This window comes from Homo sapiens, chromosome X (genome assembly GCF_000001405.40).
Source record: "Homo sapiens chromosome X, GRCh38.p14 Primary Assembly".
NCBI classification, from domain to species: Eukaryota; Metazoa; Chordata; class Mammalia; order Primates; family Hominidae; genus Homo; species Homo sapiens.
The window spans coordinates 139,631,357-139,650,542 of NC_000023.11; the positions used below are offsets into that span (position 1 = coordinate 139,631,357).

The following is a 19,186-nucleotide window of genomic DNA, read 5'->3' on the forward strand; positions in this document are numbered from 1 at the left end:
GAACTATAGGCTCTACAGTAAGGGCAAAGACAACATACATTTCTGAAGATGATCCATTCACTGTGGCAGTACTGCAAGGTGCCGCCTAACTCAGGGGTTAATTGCTTGTCATCAATGTATGTCAGCAAATCACTAACTGAGCTCAGCATAACAACCTATATAAATAAGCAAAAAAGATACTGTTAACTGCCCTTCATGCCATCCCTCCATTAAACTGTAAAATGAACTTTGGCATACATTTAGCAGAAAGTTACCTCTGATAAATGGTTTTAACAGTTCTCTCCTGTACATGCCCCCATACATGTATGCGCTACCTTCTTCAGATAATAACAGTTTCTATTTACAAAACATTTTCTGTAAAGCTAAATCAATCTCCACAGAAACCAAAACGCCTAATTTTCCTCCATCTAAAAGTTTGCATTGTTAATGGTCCAGCTTCTAAAAGAATGCTATGCTCACAACAAAGAAAAGGACTTTATGTAGTAAGTTATAATTTATCAGGAGGGGCTGACCTTTTCAAAAGTATCAAAATTTATGAGCACCCTATTCCTAACCTTAAAAACAAACAAAAATATTTTTAAAAAGTCATGGTACTCTGGACTAGCTCAGGATGTAAGTTCACGGGAGTTCAAATACATAAAACATACACTCAATTTTACTAAAAATAAAATTTCCTGCTTATATACACATACACGCACATACATATACACACATGCACACATACATATATACACATATATATAACATATATGACATATATTTTTTGCAAAAGTAATTGCTTTGTTATAAATTGATGAATCGATTTCTTTTTCAAATGGTAGAAGTGAAAGACTTTTGGGCATTTCAAATGTATACTTTTAAAAGACATTTTAATTTTTTTCTTTTAAATGACACATGGGCACATGTAAAATATAAACAGCATGGTACAGGTCTTCATGAGAATTAGAGGAACAAAACATTTAAATAATATACTCTTACTGGTAATTTAAGCATAAAATCCTCCTGACTAAACCAAAATCCAATGTCTGTGAACGTTCGTTGAAGAAAGCTGGTAGGACGTAAAACCAAAACCAAGTGCAAGTTCCCAGGGAAGGAAGCCTGTAGAAAGAAAGAACAAAAGAAATTGGAAAAAAAATTGTCAACACACACTCAACTGAGCACATATCAGAAAATATGTAACTGAAGGAAACAAATTTTAAATTCATAAAAGCCAGTAAAAGGCCAACACTTTACAAATGGATATTGATAAAATCTAAAAACATGCAAATAGAAAAATAATGTAAGGCTCCAGGTCAGATCCTTGCAACACTTCTGGTACGAAATTTTCTCACACTAAAGAAGTAGATCCAACCTTATGAAGAAATAGACTCTAAATCTTATTTTAGAGTTATTTGAACTCAAATTGCACTTATTTCCTATAAAAACAAATAGAATTAGGTGGCAGTTTCCTAGGATAACCCTAAAAGTCAAAGGGTTTTTGTCTGTGTATTTACACTAAACAATGAAAGAAAACTTTATTATGGGATTATATTTTTATTTTAATCCAATCAATATTTACTGAACATCTTCTATGTGTCTACTTCATGTATTTAAATGAATATCAAGCTCTGTTAGGCATTGAATGTTCACAAATTAAGAAAACACAATCTCTACCCAACAGTTCAACTGCAGAGTCCATTACTAATCAGCAATTCTTTAACTAAATTGATAAGTAATCAAAGGAATTAGAATAATATACAAGGGGAAATGATAGCACAAACTCTCCGAGACATAGGAAGGTCAAAAAGATCTTGAAGCATAACGAGGAGTTAACTGGATCAGAATGTTGTTCTAGTTCACCAATGTTTCCCCAGCGTCTAGAACTTGCTGGCACATAGTATGCAGTCAAAAATAACTGCTACACTAAAGAATTCAAAAGACAAAGAAGGAGGACACATTGCAAAATAAGTGGAGAACGGAGTAACATATCCCAATTTTAATAACAAATCACCACGTACTAAATGCTTACTCTGTGCAAAGCATTTTGCCAATATTATCATAAATTCTTTTCATAATAATTCTATGAAGGAGTTAGGTTACTCACTTTTACAAATAAAGAAAGTGAGACTCAGAGAGTTTAAGGATACCTTCCCCCAGCTGGCAAAGCCTTCATTTGCCCCTAAGTCTGTGCTCTTAATCACTAAACTACTCCACCTCCTGAAAAGGCCCTAGTCAAGAGAGCTAGATGAAATGACACTGGGGGACAATGGGAGATGGTGTTGGGAAAACGGGCCAGAACCACATCAGAAAGGATCATGGGTTTTTTTTTCCTGGAGGTAAGGGGAGTCTCTAAAAGGTTTTGAGCATCAGAACAACATGGTCAAATTTGCATTTTAGAAAGATCACTTTGGCTTTGGGAAGAACTGGATTTGAACAAGAGTAGAAGCAGACAGATGAGCTAGGAGGCTGGTACAGTAATCCAAGCCAGGAATGATGAGTTTCTGAACTAAAGTAATGATACCAGGAATAAGAGTAGAATTTAGGAGGCACAATCAGCAAGACATAACTACTTGATGTACTTGCCGAGAAAGGAGGTACTAGGAGGATCAAACTCCAGATTTGGGGCTTGAGTAACTGGTTGAATAGTACAACCTTCACTGAGATGGGAAACACAAGAGAAACAGGTTTTAAGAAGGGAAACAAGATTCTGATCTCCATTCATATACACGTTAGGTTGGAAGGGTCAGCAGGACATCCAGATGATGTCCTTCGGATAGCTGTTTGTACAATTAAGAAGGGAAAGAAGTCTAGGCTAAAAGTGGAGAATCAGGAGCCATCAGCCTCAAGATGGCAGATTAGAGCATAATAGAGCAAAATATATGAAAAATGTTCCAACTGCAATTATATTTCAGGCATATTACAATACTAGTAATTAAACAAAACTATAAACTAAGAATAAGATACTGTGGGGCAAGGAGTTTATGGGAACTCTCTGTACTTCCTGTTAAATTTTGTTGTGAACTTAAAACTGCTCTAAAAAAATAAAGTCTATTTTAAAATAAAAGAAAAAAGTAACTTCCACCAGGGTATAAAACATAGACTCTTTGGGAAATGATGCTCAAAACTGGGGATTTTCCTAATTCAATTTGAGATGGTGATAAAACATAAAATGTTAAGTGGCAATGAGAACTAGAGTAAATGAAAGAGAAATGAGTGTGATAAGCACAAATAAGTAAATTAAAAGAGCATAAAATTAAATCAATAAATTAAACAATGATTATCAATATACATAAATTGGGATGGCTGTCCAACTCATAATTCCCCCAGGAGGCCATGACTGTTACTCTCTCCCTTCATCTGAGAAACGACTCCCCCTTCTATTATTCTACACATTGGTTCCAAATGAGAACTCTTATTTTCCTACACGGCCCTGCCCTTCCAACACACAATGATTAATAGTGATTAGAAGTATGATTAGGGCCAGACATGGTGATTCATGCCTGTAATCCCAACAGGCTAGGAGACCGAGGATGGAGGATCACTTGAGGCCAGGAGTTCCAGAACAGCTTGGACAACATAGTGAGACCCCATCTCTACAAAAAATTTAAAAATTATCCAGTCATGGTGGCATGCGCCTATGGTTCCAGTTACTCAGGAGGCTGAGGCGGGAGGATCACTTGAGCCCAGGAAGTTGAGCCTGCAGTGAGCCATGATGGCGACAGAGCGAGACCTCATCTTTTTAAAAAAGAAAAAGAAAAAACATAAGTATGAACATTTGATGTAAGCAGGGCCAAAGAAGTCCTGCCCTAGAATTTTCAAACGAATACTGAGTGAAGGAAACTTTGAGGATGCCATTCAAAAGCAGCAGATTGCCAAGAGCCCTGCTGCTGGGGAAACATTGAAAAGAATAAAGTTAACATGTATACAGAAACAGAGAGAGACAGAGAAACAGAGAGTTCCAACGGTAATGTATATCCTACCTTCTATTATGTACGTAATGTATATTTTATTTTATGTTAAGTATAATATGTATTTTCCAGCTGGACACGGTGGCTCACACCTGTAATCCCAGCACTTTGGGAAGCTGAGGTGGGAGGATTATTTGAGGCCAGGAGTTCGAGACCAGCCTGGCCAACATGGTGAAAACCCGTTTCTACTAAAAATACAAAAAATTAGCCGGGTGTGTTGGCACACGCCTGTGGTCCCCGCTCCTGGGGAGGCTGAAGCATGAGAATCACTTGAACCCAGGAGGTGGAGGCTGTGGTGATCTGAGATTATGCCACTGCACTCCAGCCTGGGCAACAGGGTGAGACTCTGCCGAAAAAAAATATATATATATGTTTTCCAGTTATTACAGGAATTAAAAGAAATAATGAATATAAAGGCACTTCTAAAATTTTTATTTTAGGTTTGGGGGTATATGCAAAGGTTACAGAGACAAACACGTGTCACAGTGGGGGTTGTTGTACATATTATTCCTTCACCTAGGTATTAAGCTCAGTACCCAATAGTGATCTTTTCTGCTCCTCTCCCTCCTCCCACCCTCCACCCTCAAGTAGACCCGTGTCTGTTGTTTCCTTCTTTGTGTTCATAACTTCTTATTTAGCTCCCACTTATAAGTGAGAACATGCAGTATTTAAGGAACTTAAACAAATTTACAAGAGAAAAACAAACAACCCCATTAAAAAGTGGGCCAAGGACATGAAAAGGCACTTTTTAAACTGTAAAAAATATTAATAAGATAGTTTTAAAATTTTGCCTTGGATTCTCGGACGTCAGAACAAGCAGGTTTGGGTAGAAAACTTTAGGGATATGGATAAAGGCTAGCTTAAGGGAAGAATCTGACAGGGACTTGTGGGAACTTTTGGCCTATTTTTAAGTGGAAAGCACAGATTCTATTTTTACTCCCTTAATTTTAGGAGTTAAGCCTTTCCTTTTTCTTCACCTGGGTAAATTCCCATTATATTATTATACTCACCTGCCTTGAACCTGTTTATTTTTTCACTTTTAAATGAAATTGAAAGCACCCTACTTTTGCCAACATTTAAAGCAAAATTACTTTTATTCTTTCATGGATTCTAAGTTGATCTGGTTTCATCTTTCTCTCTCTGACTTCCCTTAATCTCATATTCTCTTGTATCTAGAATTATCTGGATACAAGAACCTGGGGCTGACTTCAAGCCAGGGGTACTCACCCATCTCCAAAATTATGTGTGAGGGAGGAGGGGATGGGAGGATACTATGGGAATAGAGAGAGCTATGTAGCAACTCTCTGCCTGAGGTAAGGCCCTGCTCTCTACTCTGCCATTCCTAGGAGAGCAAGGCTGTACCAGCAGCCAGGTCCAGAGACAGCTGATCACATAGCAGGGAACAAAGTAGAAAGAAAGGAGAGAGAAGGAAAATCACCGTCTGCAAGATGAGTGGGGAAGTGATTTTAAGCAGGGGTAGGGGTATTCAGCTGCTCATAAGCTAGGGATTTTATGTTGGATGTTTATTAAACCTGTTATTGCTCTATTTAATAAAGTGGATTATCCCAAACATTGACGGCTATATAAGTTGCTTCTAAAGATAATTCTATATGCTAATCAGTTCATTCTTAAGTAAAACCTTCTGATTATCTTAGCATACCTTCTCATTCCTTAATTCCTTCAAAATGTTTAGTAATTCACTTGTCACAAAAAGCCCAGAAAAACTTGGGCTTTTAAAGAAAATGCACCATCAAAGGATGAAAACTTCATTTATTGACTACATAATAACATTTACAATATTTTTTGTTATAGTTTATAGTACAATTTTATAATCTTTTTTGCATATCTTCCTAGAGCACATGGATTCTGTTAACCCAATAGTTACTCCCAATTTTAGTAGCCATTTGGGAGACTAAATAACTTGTAGGCAATAGCTACACAACTACTAAGCAATCAGAGCAATCAGGTGGCACTCAAACAATTCATCTGATTTGTCAGTTATTTTTCTAGAAAACTAAATCATATAGTTTAGACCAGGTGTGTTGTTTTCATCCCTCGTGCCCACACGTGAATAAGACATACCTGAATTTTTAATCCCACTCCCATTCACTTAACCCAGACCATAACAGGTGCCTACCAAACTGTCACACTTTTAAAGTATGACATTTATGACTACTTTTCATAGCTTCTCTTTAGCAAAAAAAATACGTATATTTATGTATATTTATATATTCAGGACCTCTCAAAGCTTTAAGGTAGGGAAAGGAGATTGGAGAGTTGGACAGGGGTGGAAATGTCATTTATTGAATGCATACTACTAGAATTATGCCCATAAAGAGCACTATTATGACATTGTGCTAAGTATTTACATGCAGTAGGTTCTATTTTTGTCCTCATTTCACAACTGGAGAAACTGAGTGCCATTATCCTCAAAGATGTCTACATCCTAATCCCTGGAACCTGGTAATATGTTATCTTATATGGTAAAAGAGACTTTATAAATGTGATTAAGGATCTTGATATGGGGAGATTATCCGGGATTATCATGGTGGGACCGATGTAATCATTAGGATAAGAGGGAGGCAGGAGAGTCAGAGAAGAAGATGTGATGGCAGAGGTCAAAGTGATGCAGGGGTATAAACCAAGGAATGTGGACGATCTCTGCAAGCTAGAAAAGTCAAAGAAACAGATTCTTCTCTAGAGACTCCAGAAGGAACACAGCTCTGCTGACCCTTGATTTTTAGCCCAGTTGGGTAATCTTGGACTTCTGACCTCCAGAACCGTAATGATACATTTTCACTGTTTTAAGCCACTAAGTTTGTAGTAATCTATTACAGCAGCAATAGGGAACTAACACATTGAGGTTTTGTGAGGTCAGGCAATTTTTCAAGACCTTCTAGCACATAAGTAGCAGAATTAAAACCCCGCTTCACCTGCCTGTTGAACTAGACTCAGTCAACAAGAGGAATTTGCAGAAGTTATAGCAGGGATGACACAAGAATCAGGTTGGTTGAGAATCTAAACCTGAGACCTAAAGCAGAGGTGACAAACTTGAATGCCTACCATGTGTTAGGGAGATAATGTAAATGTGAAGTAGGCTTAATTAAAGAACAGCCTAAATTAGGTGGAAAATAGCAATTCATACTCCTCCTATATGACGAGGAGCAACAGGAAGTGGTGGGGACCATGGTGAACTGGAGAACATTCAAAGCAGAGGGCACTCATAAGTCAGTTCACTCATAAATCAGTTCCAGCTACATGTTGTCATGTGGCAAGGTGGGCCCAGCATTGCCAACTCTTTGGTTTCTCAAGAGAAGACAGAAATCCAGATTGTCATGCAAAGCCCAGATGTTTAAAGATGGAAAACAAATTGAAAGTTTGTTAAAATGCTGCATACTCTAAACAAAACGCATCTGTGCACTGACAATTTGCAACCTCTGAACCAAAAAGCTTCATAGATCTGAACATCAATCAATATCAATAATATGGACACGTCCTTATCTGTGATTGCCGGCTATGAGAATCTAGAGGGGACAGAACACTCTTGAGCAATTTTAACCTGACAAGCCATATACATTTAAGATTAGTTTGTATGTATCTATGTTGATATACATATAAGTATATATAGAGAGTACTTTTTCTCTATATACCAATATTTGTAACAACTAAAATTCTCAAGATAATCCATTTTAAAGCTAGTATTTAAATGAACAATCAAACAGCATAGGGTATCAGATGCACATATCAAAGCAAATATAGTTCAAGACCAGTGAACTTTCCCATTTTGGTTTGGGAATATTATATTTCTAAATTCTTGGGTATGCTGCTTTAAGAACCTCTAATCTGTATGGTTATATAAACATGAAAAAGCACAATTTCTTTTTCCCCAAAATAAAAACTGAGATTTTGAAAGTATAATTCATTTTTGAGAACTTGTCAAAAAAGCAAAGGGATTTGGGCAAAGGTTAGTCTTGTTTTATTTCAATGTGTTTTTGCTTTTTTAAAAAAATAGTTTGCACGAGAGAGGAAACAGCATTGGTTTTAGGTTCTCGCAGACATTTTTCTGGAGTTCCAGCATGTGACTGCTTAAAGACATCTCAGTAAAAGCGAACCAGCTGCCTATCACATAGGACTCGGAGCCATGTGTCCAATCACTGTACGTGGTCCCACCCCAGCCCTCAGCAGCAGCTCTTACAGGCTCTTCAAGGTAACGAGCACAAAATAAGCTCCCTCTCATCTTTCCCTCCCAGAGAACAGATTTACTCCCTTTTACTCACACGTACTTCCAGATTGCCTAGTTCTATGATCTTACAGCAGTAACAACAACAATAACAACAAGAGCAGGCGTAAACCAAATACATCATTTCACTACCGAAGTCTAGAAATTAACCTTGTTTAATACTCTTGTGTGTGCTCTCTAAGGGAGGCAATTCATCACCCTATGCACACTTTTCAGTTATTCTAGTTATTATTTCTAGAATGTTTAAAGTAACTTATAAAACATAAAAGTTTGGTTACTTACTATAAAAATAATTTATTTTCCTATAGCTTTTCCTATTTAATCTTTAGGGTAAAGAAAGGCAGTAACAATAAGAGAGACCCTTGACTAAAAGCCATTATGTATGTGTCAGACTTCTTATATATATATTATCTTATTTAGCCTTCAAAACATTGCAGTAAACTGGATATTATTCCCTTTTTACAGAGGAGCAAACTGAAGCACAGTTGGTAAGCAGCGGTAGTACGGCCTATCTGGATCCTAAGGGCAAACTCTTTCTAGACACTTAACACCTCATAGACTGAATGCACACTCGGATTTACTGTTTGCCATTCAGGGATGATTTGACCTTGATGTTTCCAAAATGGGACAAATAACATTTGAAACAAGTTGCTGGAAACAATTTAGCATATACAGTCCACCAAAAGGAAAGTATCATAATTTACTGTCAGACAAATGTTGAGATGCTGACAGGCACTTGACTTTCATAAGGTCTGAACCATCTCTGCAGAATATGTTGGGAAAAAAATCTCATGACCTCAAGCTATAGAGAATAGTTTGCAACAGTATGAGCCACTTCCACACTCTTCCCCCCATATCCCCACCTTAAAAAGTACAGACAGTATGAGTTGTCAAGCAACTTGTCAAGTGACGTCAGGAGGATAGCCCAAAGCAATACTCCTTCCTTGTGGTTTGCCCTTTTCGTCACATATATATCTATTCTCCTCCCCTCTCTCTCACTCAGCTACAGTCATTGAAATTTCTACCAAGTAACTAGTTCAAACATTTTTTTGGACTTCAAGTGGCATTGGACCATCCTTTTAGATGTTACCTGTCCACAGCCTCCAGAATCAGCCCAATTCCAGAGACCCTTCAAGGTGAAACCATTTTTTTACTAGCTAAGGTTCAAATTCTTTACTCTGGTCAAGTCCTATCCATATAAGGAAAGCATATGTGTCTTCTACTATAGTTCTAGGCTTCAGAATTAATCCAATTAATCCCACTCATATCTGTTCCTACATATCACTTAATTCATTTATGAGAAAAAAAAACACAGGAAAGAATCAAGGAAAGGTAACAGCAACATATACTCTTACTTAACACCCAAACATATGCCATCTCCTGTATAAGGCCTTCTCCACCAGCCAGAATTTCTTTTCAAAATAGTCATTTACGAACATGTCTTACCCTTTCTATTAGATTGAGAGTTCCTTCAGCCCAGTAGCCATTCCATATTTACCTTTGTAACTTATGTTGTATATATCACAGTGCTAGATATGTCTATTCAGTGAGTACCCCTGTGCTGTATTTATTGTGTGTATATTAATGCATGTGTATAGACATAAAACTAAGTTCAGCACTGAGAATATATATATATATAAATATATATATAAATATATGTATATATATAATTAGGAACTTTCTGAAAGCTTAAGTTAACCTTTGATAACAAAAGTGCTAATATCAGTTGCCTACAATACTGCAAAGTACATACACAAACATTTCTTGTGCACCATAAATCGTCTGTTAAAAGTCTGAATCTATATTCTCATAATATAAAAACATGTATAGAGCCAAAGATATAATTTTGTCAAAATAAAGCCAACTATAGTTTTTAAAATAGCAGTCTGTGCTAAGAGCTTTATTAGAAAATAAATCATTTACACACCTATTGATGTTCACTGTCATTCAACAATAATAAAAGTCTTACTTTCCTTATCATAATTTTAATTCAAACTGTCATTTTTTTCCTATGGTCAATTTTTACCTTCTTATCTGTGTGTGTGTGTTATCTCGATATTTTTAGTGAGCAAGTTTATATTTTAAACCATAACATCAATAACATTATATTAATCTTTGAAAGAAAAAGAGTGGCATTTAAAGCCTTTTTGATGATTAGTTTTTTATTAAATTAGCTAGTGTTATTTCAACATTTCTCCAAAATACATCTAAAGATCACATTAGAAATTTGCTGGGAATTTACTATATGAATAAATGAATGAAGGGAAAATTTAGGCAAAAGACTGCATGAAATGTACCTGAGAGGAGAGACTTCCAAATTCTAGTCTATATTGAAAAGTGAGTTACTGTCTTTTTCCCTAAAAGAAAAAAGTTGTCAGCAGGTGACAATTTTGTACCTACGAAGTTTCAGTTTGGAGAAGAATTGAAACCATAAGGATTTCAAATCATTACAGATTTTAAATTTATTCACTTATACGGTAACACCCAGGAAAGGCTGCATTTTTAAGTGATGATGGAATCCCCTCCAGACCTATCCATGGCAATATACTCTACTTGATCATGGTGAAAGAAAGGATGAATCCTTTTGTTAGATATTGTTTTAAGTCATTATTTAAAGCTATGCTGTCCAATGATTCAAAATTGTTCATACAGTCTTAAACGAATAACATGACTAAGGTGCTCATTCATAAACCTGATGACATTTAGATTTTGAAATTATATTCTACCCCCTCAATTGCCTGAAAATTACCCTATGTCAATATCACAGTAATCACATCAATGCAATCCATGCAAATATAAGTCTCCATTCTCTCCATCTGTCCTTAAAAACCCTACTCAGCAGTTTGTGCTATAGCACCATGCTGCAGCATCCCAGCACTTGAACTTGGGAACAGGCTTTCCAGGAGTGCAGACAGAGCCCTTACCGCATTCCTTCTGAACCTCATCTTGCCTCTCCGGGGATTTGCTTCTGCCATTTCGCCTGTACGCAATTACACTTTTCTTTTCCAATTGTCAACGCAACGTTGATGAAATACGAGCTGCTTCTTGGGTAGTATTTAAAAACGGCAGCCAAAAATCTCTATCAAACAAAGCTGCCGTGGCTGCTTCCATTAGCACAGTGGCAGCAATGCTGGGGAGGAAAAAAAAAAAAAAACCACTATCCCTGATTAGTCAGCTGACAGATCCTTCCCTTCTGCTCCTTGTAATTCAGAGTTAACACATTCCTCCAATTACTTAGCCTGATTGAACCTTGTGGATTAGCTTGTGCTGGACTGCTCAAGAAGATCAGGCATGTCCTAAGAGTGGAAGGAGGAGGAAAAAAAAACCAGCTCTCTTCCTAGGAGCAGGCTTGATGGGACTGGCTTTCTCCTCTGCGCAGTTTGATTTTTAAGGTGGAATGCTAAGAATCTTTGTGAAGGTAGTATTAACTCATGCTTTTTACTCTCGTCCTACCCTGGTATGTGACTTAAATTTCAATTCTGTTTTGTTTTCTCTGTTATTGTATTCTGGGTTTAAGCCTTGTGAAAGGCTATAGTTTGCAAAATTTTGTCCTGGTAATAATCTAGAAAGAATAGAACATGCAAACTTTCTAAGACGGATACAATTCTCTCCCAAATTAACCTTTCCCCAAAATGTATAACTAAAATAAAGTCTCCTCTCATTAATTATGAAATACAACCTAAATGCTTTTATTTGTTTTGAAATCTACAAATAAAGGTATTCAAATTGAATTGTATGATTATTTCACAGACACTTGTTTGAAATAATACACCACAGGCAATTATACCTAGCTACACAATGGTAGATTTCACTAGAAATCCTTTCTGAATGCCAACTTTTGCACTTGAAATTAGCTTGCATTCAATATTTACCTTTATTTCAAACAGTAACCAACAGTTACTAATGGTTGAGATGTAATTAATGTGCTCTTGAGTATGAGTATAGAAACTATACCACAAGCAAAAACATTTAACATGTTAAAAAAGAAACACCTAAAACAACCTATAGCCAGTTACATGTGGTCAGAATCTGTACCCCTCCCTTGCCCAGCACGATCAATTTGGCAGTTATGAAAATAAAGGGACCCTGGGATCCAAGTTCTTTACTGAGCATAGGTCAAAATTCTCCACTGAGAAAGCAGCCCTGGGAATACAGAAAGAGGAGTATCACTCCCCGGTAGACAAGTAATTACCCTCTGTTGACTTCAAAATGACAGGATCATGACCTAATCTTATATTTCTCTTTTATGAAAAATAGAACCTCTGTTACAAGCCACCTATTTTGAATAATAAAAATAAAACTCTACCAAAAAAACTAACGTCAGGTGCCAAACCAGTCACAAAATGAAAATTAATTTAATCAGGCGGGTGCAGTGTTGGCCAAAAGAAAAAAACCTGGGTGATAAAAAATGTTCTAATGTAACAAGTGCTTTATTTAGTATAAGAGAAGCAATTATTAGCATAAACCAAGGTCTACTCAGCAAGCCCAAGGACCAATCCTAAAAGACCGGAGCAAGGGAAATAGCTTTTACTTTATTTAGCCCCACTGATAAGGCTCAATTGTATATGGAGGACAGATCTAATCTCTCAAAAGAAATTTTACCTTTATCTAAATAACATTGAATGTATTTGTCTATTTGTAAGCCAATTGGAAAATGATAGAAACCATCACCAACTGGAATTCTTGACATTTCAATTCTTGCTCTGGCTTTTTTGGTTACTTGGCTATTTGAGCTTGGATTCATCACATAGCCATTCCAAAGTATAAATATCAATGTGATTTCATCATCTATAAGACAATTATAGTGATACCTACTTGCAGTACTTAATCAGGAAATGAAGAGAATCAACAATACTTAATAAATGTGAATGCTTTTGAAAAAGCACTAATATGCTATAGAAAGTCAAATTTTCTTCTATTTTATTTTAGTAATTTGAGTATATCTAATGTTAACTCTTCTCTCCACTGCTAATGATTAAACACCTCTGTTAAATAAACAGGAAACCACTTTTTGCTTATTTGTCCAAAGTGAGGAATAATTCATTCTGAGTATTAAAAGAATAATGATCTTACCCATTTTACCTTGCAAGTGCTAGAACATTGGCTTGGAAGTCCAACAACCTAGATTTTTGTTTTGCCTTTGCAACTAAATCAAGTTCTTGTGGTGGGCGTGACCTCCTCAATCAGTCAGGAGACAAAGTAAGAATTTCAGATGGCTGGCAATGTTGGAATCTCAAAGAAAAAAAATATATTGATTCCCAGCTATTCTAGTCTGATAGAGGAAGTTGGCCACATGGCACTTCCACAGAGAGCCCATATCTTGCCAGCTCAGAAGGAGTCTGGGGGTCCCTCATCTCCCTCCTCGTCTATGAAAGTGAAGTGTCAAACAATTTTGTGATACCCTTGTGAGCCTAAAAGTGTAAAAGATTATCTTGGTCATGGGCAGAATTGTACCTCTCGTTATTTTAATTAGAGAAAATGTTTCTCTCTCTGGGTCTTGGGAACCTGGGGACTAGATACCAGTAGGGAAGTTATATATCATTTTATATGTGACTCATCTCCCTACCCTATCCTAGGGTAAAACAAATCTAGAAAGTTGTACACTGAAATGTTAAAAACTGCTTATTTTGGGGTGGTTGGATTACTATTGTTTTAAACTTTCTTCTTTATACTTTTTCACATACGAGTATGCAACACAGCTATTTCCACCAAAATAAATAAATAAATAAATAATTTTAAAAAGCTTCCATAAAAACTTGCCTTGTCCTGAAAGGCACATAGAACCATGAATCTCTTCTCACTCATAACTGGAGCCACAAACTACTCACTCATTCTTACTAGGTTTTATTTTGGGTAGAGTTATTTATCTCAGTCTCTGCTACAACCTCTCCTTCTACTTTCCCTCCTCACATTCCATCAATTTTTATTGTCTCCGTCAGTACCAAAGTAATCTATACCTCCCAAAACAGAAAGTATAATATAAAACAAAAATAAAAAGTTACTGTATAATGCATAGATACTTACCGAGATTTTTTGGAGAGAGATTTTGAGAGAAGACCATGTATCCAATCTTCGATCCAGAATAATGGTAAACCGGGAGTCTGATCCATTTTGCCTGAACGATAAGAAGAAATAAGAACTTTTTCTTAATAATAATGCAAATTTGTTATATATGCCTTCATTCTATTTCTGATTATTTCATCTACATTTGATGTCTTGACTGAAGACAGATTTGGAATTGGAAAGCTATCACAAAGTCCTATCTTAGAAAACTAATCTGAATACATATTCCCTTACTCACTATTTAAAATTTCTTTTGCAGCATTAATGTCAATCTTTTAAATAGGAAAGTGATAGTGTAATGAAGATAGGTCACTAAAATTGATTTAGAATACTGTAATCTTGGGTGTGGGAAAACTCAAAAGATAAGTGTCCTTCATGATATCAGATTTAACTTTCCATGCAATCCATCATGAGTCAATGATCCATTCACTCATTCAAAATCACACTGCTAAATCTATTTTTCTAACTCTAGTCTGCTCCTGAGGAAATGCAGTTTAATGGAAAATATAACTTCTATTTGCCCTAAAAATATCACTTTCAAGCTTCAATAGGTACATTGTAAGTTTCATTTTCTGAGATTTGATTTTTGTTCATGAGACTTTGAATTTTATCATCCTAGATTTGTGTCCTCTTGTTCTTCAGGGTTAGTAACTAGAAAATTCTTCCTTTGAAAATTTTGTCTTTAACACACATAAAATCTCTAAGAAACCTTTTTAAACTTTCCATTTTAAAGCATTCTAGTTCCAAATAATTTTTAATTTCAAGACATTCCTCCTAGTATCTCCCAGTACCACTATTGAATCTACTTAAGATTCAGTCTTCTTGTGTTATATTCAGAAGAAATGAAAAATGGCTGTACTCACTCTTGGCTGGTAATATTTCCTTTTAAGCAAATTAAAGCATATATGTATGACCATCGTTCTCAACCTATGTTCTTTTTGATGGGAACAAATACTCCTAGATCCCCAATTTTATTTTCATAGATTCTCAGGATAATTTTTGTAACAATTTAGGTAGCTGCCAGCTTCTCCTTCTAAGTTGTACTTCTTATCTACTCTGAAGTTAAGTCAGTTGGTTATTCACCATGATAATAATAGCTATATTAAGCCATTTTCATGTTATGACATTCAGATGGATATCTGATATAAAGCGAATTGAAAAAAATGTAATGAAATACTATACCTTGCAATAGATGTCAGGTAAGTAAGTACTTTTGCTATTACTTCCTCTGGTATACATCTAAAATTACAGTTTTCTGGAAACGTAATGATCCAAGCATTGTCCTTTCCCCGGCCACCTACAACAATAGAAAAATAATCAACTGAATTAAAAATGTATATAACAACGAAGCAAGAAGAGGATTTTAGATTTGAATACTGTTTTGCAGCAACACAACTTTTTTGCAAAGATGATGATCTCCACATAAAACCAAAATGGCTCCAAGTTCCTGACACTTTAAGTTTAAAAGGTGGCAGAGTAGTTTCTCAATAAAAAAAGAAAAAGAAAGAGAGTAAAATGAATGAATATAGTCAGAAGAAAATGTCATGAAATGCATATAATAAATACAGTGGAAAATAGCTGATTCCCCAATCTGGACAACCAAGGGGTTGGGAAATAACTGTTTCTATACCAATGAGCCTAAATTTAAAATGAGTGAATGATGGCTTGACAGCAAGTGGAAAATTTGATATAATCGATCTCTTAGTGTCATGGTGAGCAGGAAAAGATACAGAGCACCCTATAGGAAATAGGTGATGGTCTAATGTGTTTATGGAAGAAACAACAAAAGGAATGATGGCAGGAATGACATAGGAATTTTATTAATGCAAAGAAAGATCACAAATTATCTGTGGGTCAAAATTCAATGTTCAGCCTGGGTAGGGGTCCAGGCAGAGGTGTAGGGTTGTGGAAGCTCCCCGCAGACCCATGCAGCCATTAACCTGGAGCAGTTGCATCCAGCAGTATCTTGACCAAGTGGGTGACCTTGACTCCTGGAAAGCATGGATCCCAGTGCTCATAGGTGAGGCTGCCCTAAGCCCATTTCCATAGGAACCAGGAATAATGGTAACTGTCATAGGGGTTCTTGGTGAGGGAATGATTGCACCAGCTCTGGGCTTTCATTTTGGTTTCTACCCGTTTCTCCACCCAGCCCAATAGCCCTCTATGCAGCCTGAAGGATGAGAAATATTGAAAACGAAAGCCACTTAAGTGCAGAGATGAGCCTTACATGTGTTTAAGGTTCACATCTGCAGCCAGCCTAGCACCTACACAGAGAGCGAATGCTCAATAAATACTAAGTGCCAAATAGAATCTGAAGAATTATTTTAGGAGGAAAGTTGCAAGGTGGCCTTTGAAATTAGCTCAGCAATAGAAATTTTTTTAGTTCAGTTGTAATTTTTATTTGGCTGAATTTAAGTGAATAAAGATGTAAAAATATTTTTAATTCAATCTGCAATAAAAATATGACAATAGAAAAGGATACAGGCCGGGCACAGTGGTTCATGCCTGTAACCCCAGCACTTTGGGAGGCCGAAGCCAGAGGATCACTTGAGGTCAGGAGTACAAGACCAGCCTGGCCAACATGTTGAAACCCTGTCTCTACCAAAAATACAAAAATTAGCCGGGTGTGGTGGTGCACGCCTGTAATCCCAGCTACTCCGGAGGTTGAGGCAGGAGAATCGCTTGAACCTGGGAGGCAAAGGTTGCGGTGAGCCAAGATCATGCCACTACACTCCAGCCTGGACAACAGAGCAAGACCCCGTCTCTCCACGCCCCCCCCAAAAAGAAAGAAAAAGAAAAGGATATAAAATGGAATCACAACAATACTCAACGCAAAAGAAGACAGAAATGGAGGAAAACAAAGAACACATGGGACAAATGGGAAAAGCTACCATCTCACTATTTGTATTTTGCTTATTATATGATAGTAAGATGGTAGATTTAAATCCATCCATATGAATAATCACATAAAATGTCAATGATCTAGGCACTGCAATTAAAAGTCAAAGATCATCAAACTGGATAAAAAGAAAGACTGAATTATATGCTGCCCACAAGAAACACACATTTTAAATATAAAAGTACAAATTATTAAAAGCAAAGGATAGAAAAAGATATACCATGACAGTGCTAATCAAAACAAAGCTGTCTAATATTTGACAAAGTAGATTTCAGAGTCGAAAATATTACCAGATATTAAAATGATCATTTGATCATGATAAAGTGGTCGATTCATCAATGGGACATAATCTTAAATGCTTATGCACCTAATAACAGAGCTTCAAAATACACAAAGCAAAAACTGATAGAGTGGCAAGAGGAAATAGACAAATTCACAATTTTAGTCAGATATTTCACCACCCATCTCTCAATAATTGATAGAACAAGTAGACAAAGAATTTGCAAGGATATTGTATACCTGAACAACAGTCTCAACCAACATGACCTAATTGACATTTCTAGAACACTCCATCCAACAAAAGCAGAATACACTTTCTTCTCTAGTGCACATGGAAAAAGATCAAATTAATTATTTGCCTCAATATTTACCAAGGGAAACTTGAGAGACAGTATTCATTCCCAAATTATTTTTTAATCAAACTAGTCCAAAGTATTAAATCAAAGGGTTATTAATCTTCACTGTATGATATTCCAGAATTAGAGTAGAGTGAAAATAATCACTGAGAATAATGGCATCCACTGAAGAGTTTTTAAAAAACTCAAAGGAGAAACTGTACAATTCTGAACCAAGAGATTTAGTGAATCTTTAAGCAAAGGGCCTCTATAGATACAGTATGGTATAGAACTAGTAATATAAATGATATGTAATATATAATGTAATAAATATCTTAAATATAACTACATACTTGCCAAGCAAGCTGGTGAGCACTCTAGTTAAGGACAGAACCATCTAGCACTTAGGCAAACTACACTTATCAAAGGAAAGGTGGCAAGGCTCCTATAAGAGTAAATTATCATTGACTAATCTATAAATGATTATTACCACTGAACACCTACAAGTACTGTCCTACGAGTAAACTTTATGAGAAGAGATCAAAAGAGATATTTACATTCCAAATCAGGAAGTTTTAATTATTTTTTACCATTGGGAACCCTTTCTTCAAAGGAAGCTATAGGTAGAAGCATTTTTAAAACAAATACAAAAAGCAGTTAAGGAAGGAAAGGTGTAGAGAGGGGTCTGGATGGGTGCAGCAAGCCCTGAGGATGGTTCTATTTAGAACACGGTTTGGAAAACACAGATAATCTTAAGTAAAATCTCCAAAACTTAAAAGTGAACGTAACATACTGCTAAATTTACTGACACTCACACATTTCTGCCACTTATAAAATAAAACATAAAGCCATATTAATTAAGTCATCATTAATTCACAGTTACCACTAATTAGAATCATTTTTAATTAAGCTTTATCATAGGTATAATTATAATCATTTAAAAGCAGAGGCCAGGCTGGGTGCGACGGCTCATGCCTGTAATCACAGCACTTTGAGAAGCCAGGATAGGAGGATCGCTTGAGGCCAGGAGTTCAAGACCAGCCTAGGCAACATAGCAAAACCCTTTTGCTACAAAAATATAAAAATTAGCTAGGCGTGGTGGCACACTCCTATAGTTCCAGTGACTCAGGAGGCTGAGGTGGAAGGATCACTTGAACCAAGGAGTTTAAGGTTACATTGAGCTATGATCGTACCACTGTACTGGAGCCTGGACAAAAGAGCAAGAAGTTGTCTTTAAAAATAATAATAATGATAATAAAAGCAGAGGCCAGATTGAAGTGTCTAATTAGGATCACTTATAAAGTAAAAGCTTGTTTAGTAAACTGAGCATGTGAGTGCCATTTTTCAGAGAATTAATTAAACTATTTAGAAGGAATAAGATAGTTTCTTGTACTCCTAAGAAGCATTCGTCTTTATAAAAACA

At 36.2% G+C, this 19,186-nt stretch overlaps 1 protein-coding gene across 14 annotated transcripts in view; it reads right to left on the reverse strand.

Annotated features, from left to right (window-relative positions):
• The window catches only part of MCF2 (MCF.2 cell line derived transforming sequence), a 126,398-nt gene that overhangs the window by 49,587 nt on the left and 57,625 nt on the right, over positions 1–19,186 (reverse strand). For 8 of the 14 annotated variants that reach the window (NM_001099855.2, NM_001171876.2, XM_047442112.1 and 5 more), the window contains 4 exons: positions 15,433–15,547; positions 14,212–14,302; positions 979–1,098; positions 39–155 (listed from right to left, as the gene is read on the reverse strand). In NM_001099855.2, the coding sequence (NP_001093325.1) occupies positions 39–155; positions 979–1,098; positions 14,212–14,302; positions 15,433–15,547 (443 nt within the window). Of the gene's footprint in view, positions 1–38; positions 156–978; positions 1,099–11,111; positions 11,548–14,211; positions 14,303–15,432; positions 15,548–19,186 lie in introns of those variants that run through there. The other 6 variants (NM_001171878.2, NM_005369.6, XM_047442113.1 and 3 more) reach the window with 2 other exon arrangements.